The following is a 16,755-nucleotide window of genomic DNA, read 5'->3' as shown; positions in this document are numbered from 1 at the left end:
AGCCTCCCGAATAGCTAGGATTACAGACGTGCGCCACCATGCCCAGCTAATTTTTGTATTTTTAGAGATGGGGTTTCACCATGTTGGCCAGGGTGGTCTCGAACTCCTGACCTCAAGCAATCCACCCACCTTTGCCTCCCAAAGTGCTAGGATTATAGGCGTGAGCTACCATGCCTGGCCGAGAAAGTTCAATTTCTATCCCACTCAGAAACAGTCCCCAAAGACCTGGTACCACCTCACAAACTTACTGCAAGTTTTCCTACTGCCATGGAAAGGACATGATAGATGTCACACTAGAGATGGCATGTAGCTAGCTGCATATGTTCAAACGAGTGGCAGGAAAACTTGACATCCAGCATTTAGTACTTCTAAAAGAAACGCAGCACAAAAATCTCCCAATTGGAGACGACTGAGGCAATCTCAACTCGATCCTTTATATCTATTACTAAAGCTAGCAGGATTTTTATATTATCCACTCACTAACTGCAGGACGCCACAAGGTGAGAATACTTATTTTGTTTTTTTTTTAAAGTAAATACATATTAAGTTGAAATCCCTTACCACGTCAGCACAGTAACACCTTTCAGGGAGTTGCAAAACCATCATAGGATTTGACGATCGAGTATCCCAAAACTAAAAGCAAAAAAGAGAAGCCAGTATGTGACCATTCAGAGCAGAAGTCGAAATGGTGCAAAAATAAATGACAATCCTGATGGGGCCAAACAATGCCTCAACTGCACATTATACCTTTAAAGTCTTATCCCAGCTCCCAGTCATCACACAGCTGTAGTTTGGAGCTTTGATCCAATGGATGGTTTTAACAGGAGCATCATGCTTTCAACAAGACAAAAACAAAACAGATCAAGGTAAATGTAAGAATGTGCTGAACAGCTTTAGTTGTGGCAATTCAAAGGGAAGAAACTAATTTAAATACTGGGGCCATACCAAACAAAAACCAAAACATACTTAGCATTTTACCAATCCTTCCTCACTGACAGAGTTTGCATGTCCCCACCAAATCCCATGTTGAGATGTAATCCCCAGTGTTGAAGGTGGGGCCTGGTGGGAGATGTCTGGGTCATGGGGGCGGATCCCTCCTGTGTTAGCACAGTCCTCACAATAGTGAGTTCTCTGAGATCTGGCTGTTGTAAAGTATGGCACCTCCTCTCTCCCATAGCTCTCTTTCCTGCTTTTGCCATGTGATGTGCCTGCTCCATCTCCTGCTCCCTTGGGATTCCCCAGAAGCCGAGCAGATGCCGGCACCATACTCATACAACCTGCAGAACATGAGCAAACTAAATTTCTTTTCTCTATAAATTACCCAGTCTCAGGTATTTCTTTATAGCAATGCAGGAAGGGACTAATACACCCATAATCAAAACAGTCAATTTAACACAAAAACATATATCTACCTTCCATTCTAGCAAACTTTAATTTTTTTACTCATAATTAAGACATATGTGCGAGTGAAAGTAAGCTCCTCCTTAGGGAGATATTCAGAAATAACAAGCAGGGGATTCCACCACAGTTTTACTCACTGAGGTGATGGGAATTAAGAGATCAATGAGATGTTTCTAGCACACAGCACTGTGACCTGAGTATGCAGTGCCTTCCTGAAAATGTTTCAGCACTGTGCTCTTCCTGAAGCCCCCTTAGCAGGCTGGACCCTCTGGTTCTAAGTTCTCTTATCTTCATTACTTCTGCCCTTGGCATTCTTCACACAGTACCTGCCAGTGGTCCCTGAGTAACGGTAAAAGTTCCACACGTGTGGGGAAATGCCCCTCTTACTCGCTGCTCTATTACTGGCCCATAGACAGAACACTTGCTGAATGAGTAAGTGACCAAATGCAGTTGGTAGAAGACCAGCCATGCACGAGGTCACAACGTCCAACCTGTGAATGGCAAGGACCACCTATGACCTGTCTTTCATAGATTTTAATGTCACTAACTCCTTATGACTCCATCCATACATATATGAAGATCCATGACAAGACAATCTGTGAACACTAGTTAAGAATGAGAATGGTTATAAAATTGTTATTTTTGTGCTAAAGAGGTTTCTGTTATATTGTCTAATTGATTTGACAGAGTCTAACTGCACGTTTTCTTATTATAATTATAATAATTATTTCACTTAAAGAGCCATCACAGTCCTGGGTACCAGTTGTGCCTAGCCTTTCTGCAGAGGCTTCTGTTACCTGTGCGATCTGTATCGCTTGGTTACTGCTGAGGTCCCACATTTTGGCAGTTTTATCACACGATGCCGTAAACACTTTGCTCCCATCCTAAAATAAAATGGAGAAAATTTTGCATTTTAAGAAAAATTAAATCTTTAACTATATATATATTTAGATACTACGTTGAACATATTGAGGCAAACTTTGGCAATCTTTATTTTTCCAATTGTTTGGGGACCAGTGTACTGCAAACTACAGCATCATACAAAAAATTCATTTTCATCTATTTCATGATTGACTTACTTTTCTAAGCGAGAACATATAAACAGGATTTTAAAAATCAGAAATCACAAACTAGTGAAAACAAACTCTTTCTCTTGTCCCTGATCCCAGGTCTCCTCTCAGCAGCAACCATGGACCACTTTAAAATTTTTTTCTTATTTTGATAAAATTTAAGCCTTCAGAAAAGTTGCAAAAATACAAAAAATACCCATAAGCACTTCACATAGATTCATCAATTGTAAACATTCTGTCACATTTATCTTTCTCTCTATATACAAAACACATAACTATAATCTTAATTACTTTTATTCGGTCCCTATCTAATAACACTTCCAAGTACATGCAATAAAGCTATGCCAATTTACAACAGTCATTGGTCCTATCTAACTTGTCAAATAGATTTAAAAATTAGTGGTCACTGTGTGATGGTTTCACAATATTCACACAGAGAACTCAAAGTAGGTCTTCTCTGTCACTGCAGCTTGAAAGCACCCAGACATATTATGTCAATGAGTGTGGCTGCATTTCAATAAAACTTTATTTACAAAAATAGACAATGGGTCAGGTTTGACTCATGGGCCATAGTTTGCTGAACCTTGGCCTAGTCTATATTTCATTTTTGGTTCCAGAGCTCAAAAATTGACCACCATTCTCCTCTAGCAAAAACTTGTTCCATTGAAGTGACTTCATTTGAAAGAAGAGATAAAACTTGCTCCTCATGCTTTTAATGAGGTTGTAATTCTACAAATCCTTGAAAACACAGCAAAGGAAAGGTATGAGTGTATGGAGAGGGCTGCCCTGAGTCCAAGTGAACACTGGCCTCTCAATCTCATAATGCCAGCCCCACCACGTCATCAGCATTGTGGAGCAGAGCATGCCAACCTCAGTGGACACGTGCAGACATAAAGGAGAATCCAGCAAAACACTGGGGAGAGAAAGAGTATGTGTGAATGCTCCACCAGCTGCTCTAAGTCTACCTGCTTCAACTGCAGAGTTTGAACCATGTCCTTAAAGTACTGAAGATTCAACTTTACCAAGTTTGGCTTTTATGCCTCCAAGGTAACTTTGGGTCTTTAGCGCCCCTGTGCCTTTACCTACATGTCTTTCTCTCCCGGGTAGCTCCGACTCTTCCTGTAAAGCTCCATGAGGGAGGCTGCTAAGCACATGGGCTCCATCACCAGGAAGGTCTGGGCCTAGGCTCAGCCAGTCACTTTTGTTCTCACAGGCAAGCTCCTTAACCACTTTGTGACAGCACTGTGCTAATCCTTCCGTGTAGGTTTAATCTAGTCATCACAATTTTCCACTATCGAGAAGTTGTATTTGTTCTTCTTGTTTGTCCTAAGAGATCATGAGTTTCAGAAGTGTAGGTTTTGCCTACTTTGATTTCCACTTTATCTCCAGGATTTAGCATACAATAGGTGCCTGACAATTATTTGCTGAATTAATAATGTTATTATGTGTTATTACCTTCATTTTATTATTTACTTTATTATTGTTATTTATTATTTTTTTAGAGACACGGTCTTGCTCTATTGCTCAGCTTGGAGTGCAATGGTGCAATCATAGCTCACTGTACTCTCCAGTTCCTGGACTCAAGGATTCTTCCCACCTCAGTCTCCTGAGTAGCTAGGACTATAGGGATGTGCCATCACACTCAGATAATTTTTTTTATTTTTTGAGACAGGGTTGTTGCCAGGCTGGAATGCAGTGGTGTCATCATGGATCACTGCAGCCTCAGTCTCCTGGGATCAAGTGATCCTCCTGCCTCAGTCTCCCAAGTAGCTGGGACTACAGGTGTGCGCCACCAAACCCGGCTAATTTTTCTATTTTTTGTAGAGACCGGGTCTCCTTACGTTGCCCAGGCTGGTCTCAAACTCCTGACCTCAAGCTATCCTTCATCCCAAGCCTCCCAAAGTGCCACTGCACCCAGCCTACCTTCATTTTCTAAACAAGAAAACAAATTTAGAAAGATTAAACAACTTGGCAAAGTCAAAAGCCTGGAAGAGACAGAGCTGAAATTTGAACCCAGGCCTCAATTGGATGAGACAATGCTTAAAAAGCTATAGGCAAATGGTTTACTTTTCAAGAATCAGCTCTGCTGGCCAGGCGTGGTGGCTCATGCCTATAATCCCAGAACTTGGGGAGGCCAAGGCGGGTGGATCACTTTGAGCTCAGCAGTTTGTGATCAGTCTCGGCAACATGGCGAAACCCCATCTCTACTAAAAATACAAAAATTAGCTGGGTGTGGTGGTGGGCGCCTGTAACCCCAGCTACTTGGGAGGCTGAGGCAGGAGAATCACTTAGAACCCAGGAGGTGGAGGTTGCAGTGAGCTGAGATCGCACCACTGCACTCCTGGGCTACAGAGCAACACTCAAAAACAAACAAACAAACAAAAATTTACCTCTATTCTTGTCTTCTGTAAAGCATTCACAGAAGCCTTTCCAAACTTTACAGCTGCTTTCTGTATTGTTTTTCCCACCCAGCACCAGTTCATCCTGCCTCCCCGTCAGAACGTACAACTCTCATTCCTGTGTCTGATCCTCCCACTAGATGCTATGAAACTTAGATTCCGTTTTATAAATTCCAATAGCCATTAGATAACATTTGAGCAAAAGGATTCCTGCATTAGTTAATTCTATTTCTTGCCGTACTTTATAAGAAACTTTCTAATTCTGACCCGTTGCCCGATCAGTAAAGACAGACAAAATACATTAGAAATGTTTCAAATCTACTCATGCTGCTACTTTTCTGTGTGTAAACTAAAAATAAGTTGCATATGAAATGAATGCTTCACTTTTCAAACTTTTCATATATCTATTAATGTAGTGTCACAATAACTTAATCAGGTATGTCAGGAAGACATTTTACAGGTGATAAAAATGCCTCAGAGAAGCTGATCCTTGCTACTGAATAAAATGGGAGCAACTGTGGCCCCTAAACTATGTCAAAATGTTTATACACAGAATTATTTCTTATATATAAGCTAAATAAGATCACATTAAAGCAGCGGTCCCCAACCTTTGTGGCACCAGGGACCAGTTTCATGGAAGACAATTTTTCCAGACTGGGGTGAAGTGAGGGTATGGTTTCAGGATAAAGCTGTTCCATCTCAGATCATCAGGCATTAGATTCTCATAAGGAAGACACAACCTAGATCCCTCACGTGTGCACTTCACAACAGGGTTCGAGCTCCTGTGACAATCTAATGCCGCCGCTGATCTGACAGGAGGCGGAGCTCAGGCAGTAAGGCTCACTGGCCCACCATTCACCTCCTGCTGTGCAGCTTAGTTCCTAACAGGCCATGGACCTGTTCTGGTCCACAGCCTGGGGGTTGGGGACCCCTGCATTAACGTATGGCCATAAAATTAAGATTGCCCATAGGTTCCCTTTAAATAAGACATCTTGATGGATTAATCACTACCACCCTATTAGCCAGTCACGGGAGCACTGTCATGCATTTGGTATTTTTTAACTTTGGGATGCTGTGACTCAGCATGGCAACAGCCTGACTCCTGCCAAATCCATTGTAGCTGAACTTATACTGAATATTCCGGACTGACATAACAACCATAAGGTGTTAATTCATGGTTGAAGGACTTAACAATTAATCAATAGATGCTCACGCATGCACGTATGCTCAATTTCAAGAACTATTTCCGAATAAATCCGCAAACTCCCCCCTCCTAATCTGACTTTACCATCAACCTAGGTAAACATACCTTTGCCAAACCCCAAACACAAGAAACTAAAATGCAACCCAGTCAGAGCCCAGACATATTTTAACCACGAACACCCCAACAGCTACCCCTCGATTGATGTAATTTTCTAAAAAATCTTAAGGCTCCTCCTACCCAATAAATCCTCCACTATGTATAATAGATTAACTAAACTTCTGCCCTAATACTGATATGATACCTTGAGCATAACCCTCTGAAAGTGCTGCCCCAGTACACCATAACCCTAAATCAACCATACTCTAATTATGAATAACCCTCTCAGCCAAACCTCTGCCAATCCAACTTTAAAGACCCTGAATTTCCAGAACTGTAAGCAACTATTTCTATTTCTTTCTTTCTTTCTTTCTTTCTTTCTCATACTTTAATTTTCCACTTAAGTATTCTACACAGTTAATGTAGCTTAACCACTCAAAGCAAGACACTGAAAATGTCTAGATGGGTCCACAAAACCTTATAGATAGGTTTGGTCCTGACCTTTTTATTAGTTCTTTGTAAGATTACACATGCAAACACCCCTACCCCAGTGAAAATGTCCTCTAGATCACCCGGATCAAAAGGAGCAGGTATCAAGCATGCACAAATGCAGCTCAAAACACTTTGCTCAACCACACCCCCACAGGAAACAGCAGTGTTAAATCTAGTAATAAACAGAAGTTTAACTAAGCTATACTAATATTTAGGGTTGGTTAATTTCGTGCCCGCCACCATGGCCATACAGTTAACCCAAGCTAATAGAACTTGGCGTAAAGAGTGCTAAGCTCCATCTAAGTTGTAAAAAACTCCAGTTGAAATAAAACATACTACGAAAGTAGCTTTAATACCCTGAAGACACAGTAGCTAAGACAAGAACTGGGATTAGATACCCCTCTATGCTTAGCCCTAAACCCTAACAGTTACATTAACAAAACCATTCGCCAGAGTACTACAAGCAACAATTTAAAACTCAAAGGACTTGGTGGTGCTTTATATCCCTCTAGAGGAGCCTGTTCTATAATCAATAAACCCCGATACGTCTCACCACCTCTTGCCCCTGGCCTATATGCCCATCTGCAGCAAACCCTAAAAAGGTTATAGAGTAAGCACAAGTATACACATAAAAACGTTAGGTCAAGGTGTAGCCCATGAGGTGGCAAGAAATGGGCAACATTTTCTATGTCCAGAAAATCTCATGACAGCCTTATGAAATCTAAGGGCTTAAGGAGGATTTAGCAGTAAACCAAGAGCAGAGTGCTTGGTTGAATAAGGCCATGAAGCACGCACACACAGCCCATCACCTTCCTCGAATACTACTCTAGAAATCACTATTACTGATAATTTTCTACACAGGTATAGAGGAGATAAATTGTAACATGGTAAGCATACTGGAAAGTGCGCTTGGATAAACCAAAGTGTAGCTTAACCCAAAGCATCCGGCTTACATCCAGAAGATTTCATCATGACCTGACCACTCAGACAACTCTAGCCCCAAACCTCGCTAAAAATATTATCAAACTATCTTAATCAAACCATTTACCTTAAACAAAAGTATAGGCGATAGAAATTTCTACCCTGGTAGATATTTCTGGCAATAGACACAGTACTGTAAGGGAAGGATGAAAGAACTGTATTGAGGACTAAAAAGCAAAGACAAGCCCTTATACCTTCTGCATAATGCATTAACTAGAAATAACTTTACATAGAACTATGGCCAAGTCCCCCGAAACCAGACGAGCTACCCAAGAATAGCTGAAAGAGCACACTCACCTATGTGGCAAAACAGTGGGAAGATTCATGAGTAGCGGTGACACGCCTACCGAGCCTGGTGATAGCTGGCTGGCTTAGTTCAACTTTCAACTTACCCACAGAATTACTTAAACTCCCTGTAAGTTTAACTGTTAGTCTAGAGAGACAGACAGCTCTTTAGACCCTTCCTACAGAGAGTAAAAAACATTACCACCACAGTTGGCCCAAAAGCAGCCACTAATTAAGAAAGCATTTAAGCTCAATATCTAACTATCTTAAATTCTAACCAGTCTACTGAACTCCTAACATCACATTGGACTAATCTATTACTTAATAGAAGCAGTAATGTTAATGTAAGTAAGATGAAGACATTCTCCATTGCATAAGCTTACATCAGACGGGAGTAACCCACTGACAGTTAACATCCCAATATTAATAAATGATATAATAAACACCGTATTATTTGCACTGTTAACCCAACACAGGCATGCTCTAAGGAAACATTACAAAAAAATAAAAGGAACTCAGCAAATCTTACCCCGCCTGTTTACCAAAAACATCACCTCTAGCATTACCAGTATTAGAGGCACTATCTGCCCAGTGACATATATTCAACAGCTGTGGTATCCTGACCGTGCGAAGGTAGCATAATCACTTGTTCTCTAAATAGGGACTTGAATGAATGGCCACACGAAGGTTCAGCTGTCTCTTACTTTCAACCAGTGAAATTGATCTATCCGTGAAGAGGCGGATATAAACAAATAAGACGAGAAAACCTTATGGAGCTTTAATTCATCAATGCAAATAAAAACTCCAACAAGCCTACAGGCCCTAGCCTCCTATCCCTGCATTAAAAATTTTGGTTGGGGTGACCTCGGAGCATAATTCAACCTCCTAACAACCTAAGACCACACAAGTCTAAGTGAGTTATTACACATCGACCCAATAATTTGATAAACGGAGTAAGTTACCCTAGGGATAACAGCGCAATCCTATACTAGAGTCCATATCGACAATAGAGTTTACGACCTCGATGTTGGATCAGGACATCCTAATGGTGTAGCCGCTATTAAGAGTTTGTTTGTTCAATGATTAAAGTCCTATGTGATCTCAGTTCAGACCAGAGTAATCCAGGTCGGTTTCTACCTACTTAACATTCCTCCTACTACGAAAGGACAAGAGAAATAGGGCCCACTTCATAAAGTGCCCTCACTCCATAGATGATGCCATCCCAGTCTCTTAAATCATCACACATCCTACCCAAGAACAGGGTTTGTTAAGATGGCAGAGCCCAGCGATTGCATAAAACTTAACACTTTATAATCAGAGGTTCAACTCCTCTTCTTAACAACATGCCTGTAATTAACCTCCTCCTGCTCATTATCCCCACTCTTATCGCGATAGCGTTCCTTACACTCATCGAATGAAAAATCTTAGGCTATATACAACTATGCAAAGGACTCAACATTGTAGGTCCTTACAGACTGCTTGAACCATTTTTTGATGCAATAAAACTTTTCACCAAAGAACCCTCGCGGCCCTTAACATCTACTATCACCCTTTATATTATTGCTCCAATCCTAGCCCTCTCTATCGCTCTCCTCTTATGAACCCCCCTCCCTATACCAGATCCTCTAATTTTAATGTAGGCCTCCTATTTAAACTAGCCACATCAAGCCTAGCCGTCTATCTATTCTATGATCAGGATGAGCATCTAATTCAAAATATGCACTAATCAGCGCACTATGAGCTGTGGCCCACACGATTTCATATGAAGTCACCCTAGCTATTATCCAGCTATCAGTTCTACTGATAAGCAGCTCATTTAACTTACACATACTCATCACAAGAATTCCTCTGACTGCTCCTATCATCATGGCCCCTAGCCATAATATGATTTATCCCCACACTAGCAGAAACTAACTGAGCCTCTTTTGATCTAACAAAAGGAGAGTCAGAGTTAGTCTCAGGCTTCAACATCGAATATGCCGCAGGCTCATTTGCCCCCTTCTTTATAGCAGAATACATGAATATTATCATAATAAATGCCCTAACTACTACTATTTTCCTAGGAGCACTACACACTGTATATTTACCAGAACTCTATACCACAAATTTAATTACCAAGACCCTTCTAAACCACTCTCTTCTTACAAATTCGAATGGCATAACCCCAATACCGCTAAGACCAACTCGTACATCTTTTATGAGAAAACTCCTACCACTTACATTAGCATTTTGCAGATGCTATATCTCAATGCTTGTCCTAATTTCCAGCATCCCACCCCAAACATAGGAAATATATCTGACAAAACAATCACCATACGTTAATGCAACATGCTGAGCGCAAAGGTTGCACCCTATAGGATTTATTTAGATGATACTCTTGTAAAAGCAAAACTATAGGGACAAAAAAAACAGATGAGTAGTTTCCAGGGGCTGCGAGCTGGGAAGGATTTGACGACAAAAGGAAGGAAGAGAATTTGGAGGCCGATGGATCTGTTCTATATCTAGAACACAACTCTATGCATTTCTTAACACTCACAGAGCTGTATACCAAAAAGGTTCAGTTTTACAGCAGGCAAATCAGACTCAATAAACCTGACTAAAGGAACAGGTACAAGGCCTCGGAAGGGGCCTCAAGGCTTAGCTTCTTCAGCACTGCAGTGTGTCTGCCTGTCACCAGGCCCCTTAACATTCTCACTACTGTTGGGTTCAGCCACCAGCAGCAATGGCAGGAGAAGGGAGGAGAGAGGCTGGGGTGTTCAACCCCTGGCTCCCCTCGCCAGGCCGAGGCCCGTCTACAGCTGTTCATCCCCTGGCTCTCCCGCGCCAGGTGGAAGCCCCTCTACAGCTGCAGCTCATGCTGTGCTCCAGGAGGCCCGCCCACTGCAGCTTGGCACCGGTGTTTCACCTTCCCTGCTGGCTTCTTCATAAATTATCCCTTAATCATTAAACTCTCCTCAATCACACACACAAAATTTAATACAAGAAAAGCTTTCAAAGAAAGTGGCTAACTAAAGCCAACATTAAGAACATCAATAAATGACTATATTTATGTTCAGAAACTTAGAATTCCTACAATATGAACACATATATGCTATTTGTGTTTGGATTATTAAATATTCTAAATCATTCTGTACTTTAAGTAAAATGGAACACGAGAAATGGAAGGGAACGTACGTCACTCCAGCAGACATCAAGCACAGGCCCAGTGTGCATCTGCTGGGCTTTTGGAATGGTCTGTCCACTGTCTTGAACTTCCCAGCAGCGAACCTGTAGTAACAAAAAAATTCAATGCAAACAAAGCAATTACGATGTATTGCTTGCATTTAACACCTAAAAACTAATGGGGTACACCTTAACCATACATAGACTTCTCATAGCAACCTAATTATCTAACTTCAAGAACAAAGGAATTAAAATATCTATGAAAGCAACTGTTTTCTTCGCCTAAGCTATTAAAATAAACAAATTCTATTGCTTACACATAAAATTGCAGATAATTTTCTCAATGCATCTATGAGATATGTCTTTTAAAGTAGAATATCACTTACCCATTACCATTCAGAGAATCAAGACCAAAGTAGAAACTTACCTCTTTTCTGAATACTTTATATAATCTCCCCTCCGTTAAAAAAGTAATACATTTTAGAGATTTTGTAAATATGGCAAAAAAATAAAAATCACCCTAATCACACCACAGACAACCACAGCTAATGGTTCTGTGTGCTCTTAGTCTTCTTTCCATGTACGCATATTTTCTGGAAGACACTAGATTATACAGTGTCTTCACTTTTGCAGCTACAGCTTTCCTCACCTGCATCACTAGCCTGTTCAACTTGAAACATCCTTTTTTTAAGCAGCAAATAATCTGAAATCTTTCTAAAAATTACATGTAGAAAGCAAGCTTGCTCAACCTTGACTACCATCCTCCCTCCTGTTCTCCTAACCCCTGCTGCCCCTGTGCTGTAGGCTACAGTTCAAAAGCTTTTCCAAAAACTTACAATGGTATTCCATCATACAAACATACTATACATTGCCATTACTACTGGATATTAAAATTTTCAAAATTTTCACAAGTTCACAGTGCTTTGGCTGTTATAAAGGTTAATTTAGATAATGCAGATGAAGTACATTATCAGATTTCCTACTCAAGTCCCAGAAGGGTATCAGTGAGATAAAGGGTATAAGCTGAAGGATTTTTGATAACTATTGCCAATTATCCTGTGGAAAAGCCAACTTACATACCTACCAGCCATACATGCAGGGTTTCAGCTTATCCTTGCTGGCACTATTATTCTTTTAAACTTTTAATTTTGTTAATTTAATAAAAAAAAGTCTTAAATTTGCATTTATCTGATTACAAGCATGGATGAATGGTTCAGGTTTATTCTTTCTTTTGTGAAGTCCCTCTTTACACCCTTTGCTTATTTTTCTACCAGAGTTTTCTTTCTTTTAGTAAACTGTAATTTTTTTGTCTTTCTTTTTGTACATGATGAGTAAGTATCTAGGCAAATCTGTGCTATTATTTAACGTTGAAAAAGTTTCATACATGCCTGAGGAACACTGTCAGGATGCCAAGAAAGGGAATTTGTTGGTGTGTGCCACTGGGTATAATGTTCACTCTGGATGAATATGATATTTGATTTGGGAATAAACTTCAAGAGACTGAACTAAAGTAGAAAATTTCGAGCAACACATATGATTGTGCTTTCCTAACAAAAACGGGTGTAAGAATAATGTCTGCCATTCAGAAGGGTTCACACCCCCTAAATTGATTTCTCAAAAAAGGCCATAAATAAGTCCAACTGATTCATTTACTTGGGAAACAACGGAGCTAAAGCTAACCTTGGCCATACAAAGAGAGATGATTTCTAGAACACGTATTTAAGGAGCACTTACATCATTAGCCCATGATCCTGCAATAAGAAAGTTCCCCGGCAAGGTTGGTGGGCTAAAAGACAGACAACCAATGCTATCATCAGGAGATGATGTTACTTCAATATCCTGCGGGAAAAAAGTCAATGTTAAAATGTATGCACGCTCACAACTTCATTCCAAATTGTTTTCTTTCTCACTAATTACCTCACGGTGGCCTTTCCTTGTGTACAAGAACTAACTGAATTAGACCTTTCCTTACTTTGATCAAAGACAGGAGTAAAAAATAAGCTAGAGAAAGTACCAGCACCACCAGGACTAGCAGTAGCAGCTGCTAATGAAATGCCCATGGTCTTGTTTTCTAAATGACCAGTTCACTCTGGCCCCACAGTGCTAGATCACAGTTTTCACCTGCCATCCCCTCTCTCCAACCATGGGAATTCTGAGTCAACAGTCCTGGCTGGGCCAGGCCCTGGGAATCTGCACCGGAATCTGCACCTTGGGTGATTCTGGAGACCTGGCAGGCCAGGAAGAACAGGACACAAGTACGGGGACACATTTTCTGTGCTCCAGTGTTTCAGAAACATGAGTTAGACAAAGTTTCAAAGCTTTCAGCCTAAAGGAGGCTCCCAAGTCATCTCGGGTTCTGTCCTTGATGGGAGAAACTCTGCCCAAACTCTTCCTACAAGCCCCAGGAAGCTTTTCGTGGTACCTTCATGGGATTGTGATTGTCTGTAGTTGCACTGCCAAACATGCTGGTCCCACTGGTTCCAAAACCTGAGGTTGTTCCAAACAGGCTCATTTTGAACCTAAAAAGTAATGAAAAATGTTAAGGATGGGTTTTCTCTTAATATCACTGAGAGGCAATGGTAAGATAATTAACTGGCAGAAGAGAAATACTCAAAGTGGCTTGAGGCCAGGCTTCACTTTTCAGACAAGAGCGCAATGAGCAGAGTGCTTTCAAAACATAAACCTTCTATTTTAGAGTAGTTTTAGGTTTCCAGAAATAGTAAAGATAGAATTCCCATACACTCCATATCTAGTTTCCCCTATTATCTCATATTAGTACGGTTCATTTGTTACCATTAATAAACCAGTATGGATACATTGCAGATTATTTTGTAGGCACCAGCTAGAAAATAAATTCACTCATTTTTTACATAGAGACCCTGAGCTGCGCAGCAGGAATATAACAGTAAACAAGATCGCAGGTCCCCGTGCTTTCAGGTTTCCACCTAGTGGGCATTCACTTTCCTACTAATTTCTACATTCTAGTTTAGGTCAGCATCCGCATGAAACTACCTAGAACAACCAGTCCGGGAAGCGAATCAGCAATTTCTTCGTAAAAGTTTTAAAAAGGTCGGGCATCGTGTTTTGGACATTTACCCAGCAAGAACCTCTCCCACCCTGGGTTTTTTCTTGAATATCATAATCTAACAGGCCCACCAGGGTTTGGTCAGGGCCTCTTGCCACTCAGGAGTTGGGACTCTAATCTCACCAGTCTTCATTTTCCTGCTCTGCAAACATAGAGAACATTAACACATTCTCCAGGGCTGCTCTGGGGATCAAATCAGATTATGTAGAAAATGCAGTATCTAGTTCATAGTGGGTACAATAAACGACTTTTCCCTTCTTTTTTCCTTCCAACTCCCCGAGGAGTTACGTACACTGAAACCACATTTCAATCCTACTACCTGTTACGCTGAAAAGTCCTCCATACCAGTCACCTCTCCAAAGGGAGCCAAATGGCTGAGTGACATCCTTGCTAACAAGACAACACAGAACGGAGAAACTGCAAGGAATTTGGGGAAGGCATTTGAGTTTCCTCAGCTTCATGAAAAATAAGTGCAGAACAAAAGGTCAGAGCAACAGCTACAAGCACATGTACATTTTAGTGAACGTGAGGGGATGTGGTCCTTGCCGGCCACACTTCTGCCCTCAAATGCAGAGGTACTTGAAACACCAGTTGGCTGTATGAACGAACAAAGGCATGACAAGGCTTCTGCAATCAGTCCAGGTGCTGGTTACACGGCTTTGGACGGGTCACTTAACCTTGATTTTCTCATCTGTAAAACAGAGACACTAATATCTACTTCACAGAGTTATGAGAACTAAATGAAGCCACACACACACACTGCCTAAAGCACTACAGGTTCTTAATAAATATTACTTTCACTCTATTCCTCTACCTCAACCTTCAAGTTGGGAGAGAACATTTCTGCCATTAGGGATGAACTTAGGAAAAAGAACATGGTAGGTGAGAATCGTTCGTGTTAGTCAGTGTGGACCACACCTTATGCTGAGCACTGGGAAGCTTCCAAAGTTCAGAAGGCACAGTCATCTGTGGGACCCACCTAATCTCTTCCCGCTCTCTCCCGCCTTGCTGCACCCCAGCCCTCCTAGCTCTGCTGGCTTCCTTTCTCCGCTGAACACAACAAGCTCATCCCTGCCTTGGAGCAAACCTAGTGCTGTTCCTTCAGCTTGGGATGATTTGCTTCTCCCTCCCCACAGCTACCTCCGTTTGAATCTTCATATCCCAGTTCAAAAGTTGCCTCCTCCGAACTTCTTGGGGTGATGAAAATGTCCCAAATTTGAACTTGCCATGTTTACGCAACTGCATAAAATTTCCAAACTCACAATATACACTTTCAATGGTTGAAATTAATGTTATTTTATACTTCAATAAAGCTGTCACACGTATTCTTTTTTAAAGTCACCTCCTCAGACGCTTCTTTGCCAACTTTAACATATCTAATCTTCCATCACATCCCCTGGAATTTCTTGTTTACACTCAAAATCTCTTCCCCCCCAGAATGCTGGCTCCAAGAGGGCAGCCACTTGCCTGGATTCTTCCCTTAATGCATACTGGGTCCCACAGTACAATGCCTGGCCCAGGGCGGCTGGTGTTTAATACTACTTGCCTGGAGAAGTACTGCCTGTACGGTGGCACCTATATACGTATACAATAAATACTTGGCGGGCTAAGACAGAAACAGACTTAGTTTCAGAGACTGGTAACTGCTACGAAAGAAATGGAGCAGGTTGACGTGGAAGAGGCTAAAAGGGGACGCCCTTCTGCAAAGCGGCCAGGGAAAGCTTCTCCCAGGAGCTGACATGTATCTGACGAGACGCCAGACGTGTAAGGGGGAGGGACAGAGGCGACACACACTGCATTAACGCAATGTGACCCTTCCCAGAGGCTCAGTTCCCCCACAAGAGAAACGATGGATTAGGCCCTAGGTGACCCCTAAGGCCATTTCCAGCTCTGACCTCGCTTCCAGGGCCCAGTAACGAAGCTTAGTCAACAGTCCCGCTCGCGCCCCAGCATCCCGCAGAAGCGCGCTCCCGGGAGGCAACTCGGCCTCTGCGGGAGCCATGGCGGCGGTTAACGACGGGACGCGCGCGGCACGGGGCCTACCTGGGGGTCTCGCCCCGGCGGAAAGCGGCGGCCGGGAGCAGAAGGGTCTGAGGAGTTTGCGAACCTGCTCTGGCGCGAAGGACGAGGGCCAGGAGCGCGGACAGAAATCCCAGGAGCCCGAAGCCTCCTTAAGCCTGCGGTAGAAACTGCCCTGACTACCGCGGAAACAACGCGCGTGCGCCCTGGAGCCACTTCCTGCGTCGCCCGGAAATCGTCGAAGAAAAAGGCTCCTTTTCCCGCAAGGCGACAGCACATGCGCAAAAACGCTTTACACCAGCAGTTTGCGAATTGGTCCAAAGTTGATGTAGCCGCTGCAAGTTACTAAGCGACTGCTTTTATAAATCCGCAACTGGCCAGGCGCGGTGGCTCACGCCTGTAATCCCAGCACTTTGGGAGGCCGAGGCGGGCTGATCACCTGGGGTCAGGAGTTCAAGACAAGTCTGGCCAACATCGTGAACCGCCCCGCCCCCCGCCCCCCCCGCCCCCCCGCGCCGCCCCCCCCCGCCCCCCGCCCCCGTCCCCCCGCCCCCCCCGCCC

The 16,755-nt window shown here is 42.5% G+C and overlaps 1 protein-coding gene and 3 pseudogenes across 7 annotated transcripts in view, besides 2 other annotated features; 3 read left to right on the top strand and 1 right to left on the bottom strand.

Annotated features, from left to right (window-relative positions):
• RAE1 (ribonucleic acid export 1) overlaps window positions 1-16,386 on the bottom strand; it is a 27,948-nt gene extending 11,562 nt beyond the window's left edge. For 2 of the 7 annotated variants that reach the window (XM_005260582.3, XM_011529087.3), the window contains exons 1-7: window positions 16,283-16,386; window positions 13,513-13,609; window positions 12,825-12,929; window positions 11,103-11,195; window positions 2,199-2,285; window positions 748-834; window positions 562-633 (exon numbers count right to left, since the gene is read on the bottom strand). In XM_005260582.3, the coding sequence (XP_005260639.2) occupies window positions 562-633; window positions 748-834; window positions 2,199-2,285; window positions 11,103-11,195; window positions 12,825-12,929; window positions 13,513-13,602 (534 nt within the window). In that variant the 5' untranslated portion in view covers window positions 13,603-13,609; window positions 16,283-16,386. Of the gene's footprint in view, window positions 1-561; window positions 634-747; window positions 835-2,198; window positions 2,286-11,102; window positions 11,196-12,824; window positions 12,930-13,512; window positions 13,610-14,494; window positions 15,573-15,642; window positions 15,664-15,721; window positions 16,100-16,218 lie in introns of those variants that run through there. The other 5 variants (NM_003610.4, NM_001015885.2, XM_005260583.3 and 2 more) reach the window with 5 other exon arrangements.
• Window positions 8,602-9,208, top strand: MTRNR2L3 (MT-RNR2 like 3 (pseudogene); annotated as a pseudogene).
• Window positions 9,195-9,269, top strand: NMTRL-TAA5-1 (nuclear-encoded mitochondrial tRNA-Leu (TAA) 5-1; annotated as a pseudogene).
• On the top strand, window positions 9,272-10,212 carry MTND1P9 (MT-ND1 pseudogene 9; annotated as a pseudogene).
• Window positions 15,917-15,996: an enhancer, noted in NCBI's record as "active region_18145". NCBI's record gives its function as "activates an Ori minimal core promoter by ATAC-STARR-seq in GM12878 lymphoblastoid cells {active_cell/tissue: GM12878}" and the evidence as "EXISTENCE:reporter gene assay evidence [ECO:0000049][PMID:35858748]".
• Window positions 16,187-16,755: an enhancer, noted in NCBI's record as "H3K27ac hESC enhancer chr20:55925942-55926510 (GRCh37/hg19 assembly coordinates)". NCBI's record gives its function as "activates a minimal SCP1, AML or CMV promoter by ChIP-STARR-seq in naive and primed H9 embryonic stem cells {active_cell/tissue: H9 hESC(naive and primed)}" and the evidence as "EXISTENCE:reporter gene assay evidence [ECO:0000049][PMID:30033119]".

Source organism: Homo sapiens, chromosome 20, assembly GCF_000001405.40.
Source record: "Homo sapiens chromosome 20, GRCh38.p14 Primary Assembly".
In the NCBI taxonomy this organism is placed as follows: Eukaryota; Metazoa; Chordata; class Mammalia; order Primates; family Hominidae; genus Homo; species Homo sapiens.
The sequence above is the reverse complement of the archived record's forward strand: the minus strand, read 5'-3'. Positions and strand labels throughout refer to the sequence as shown.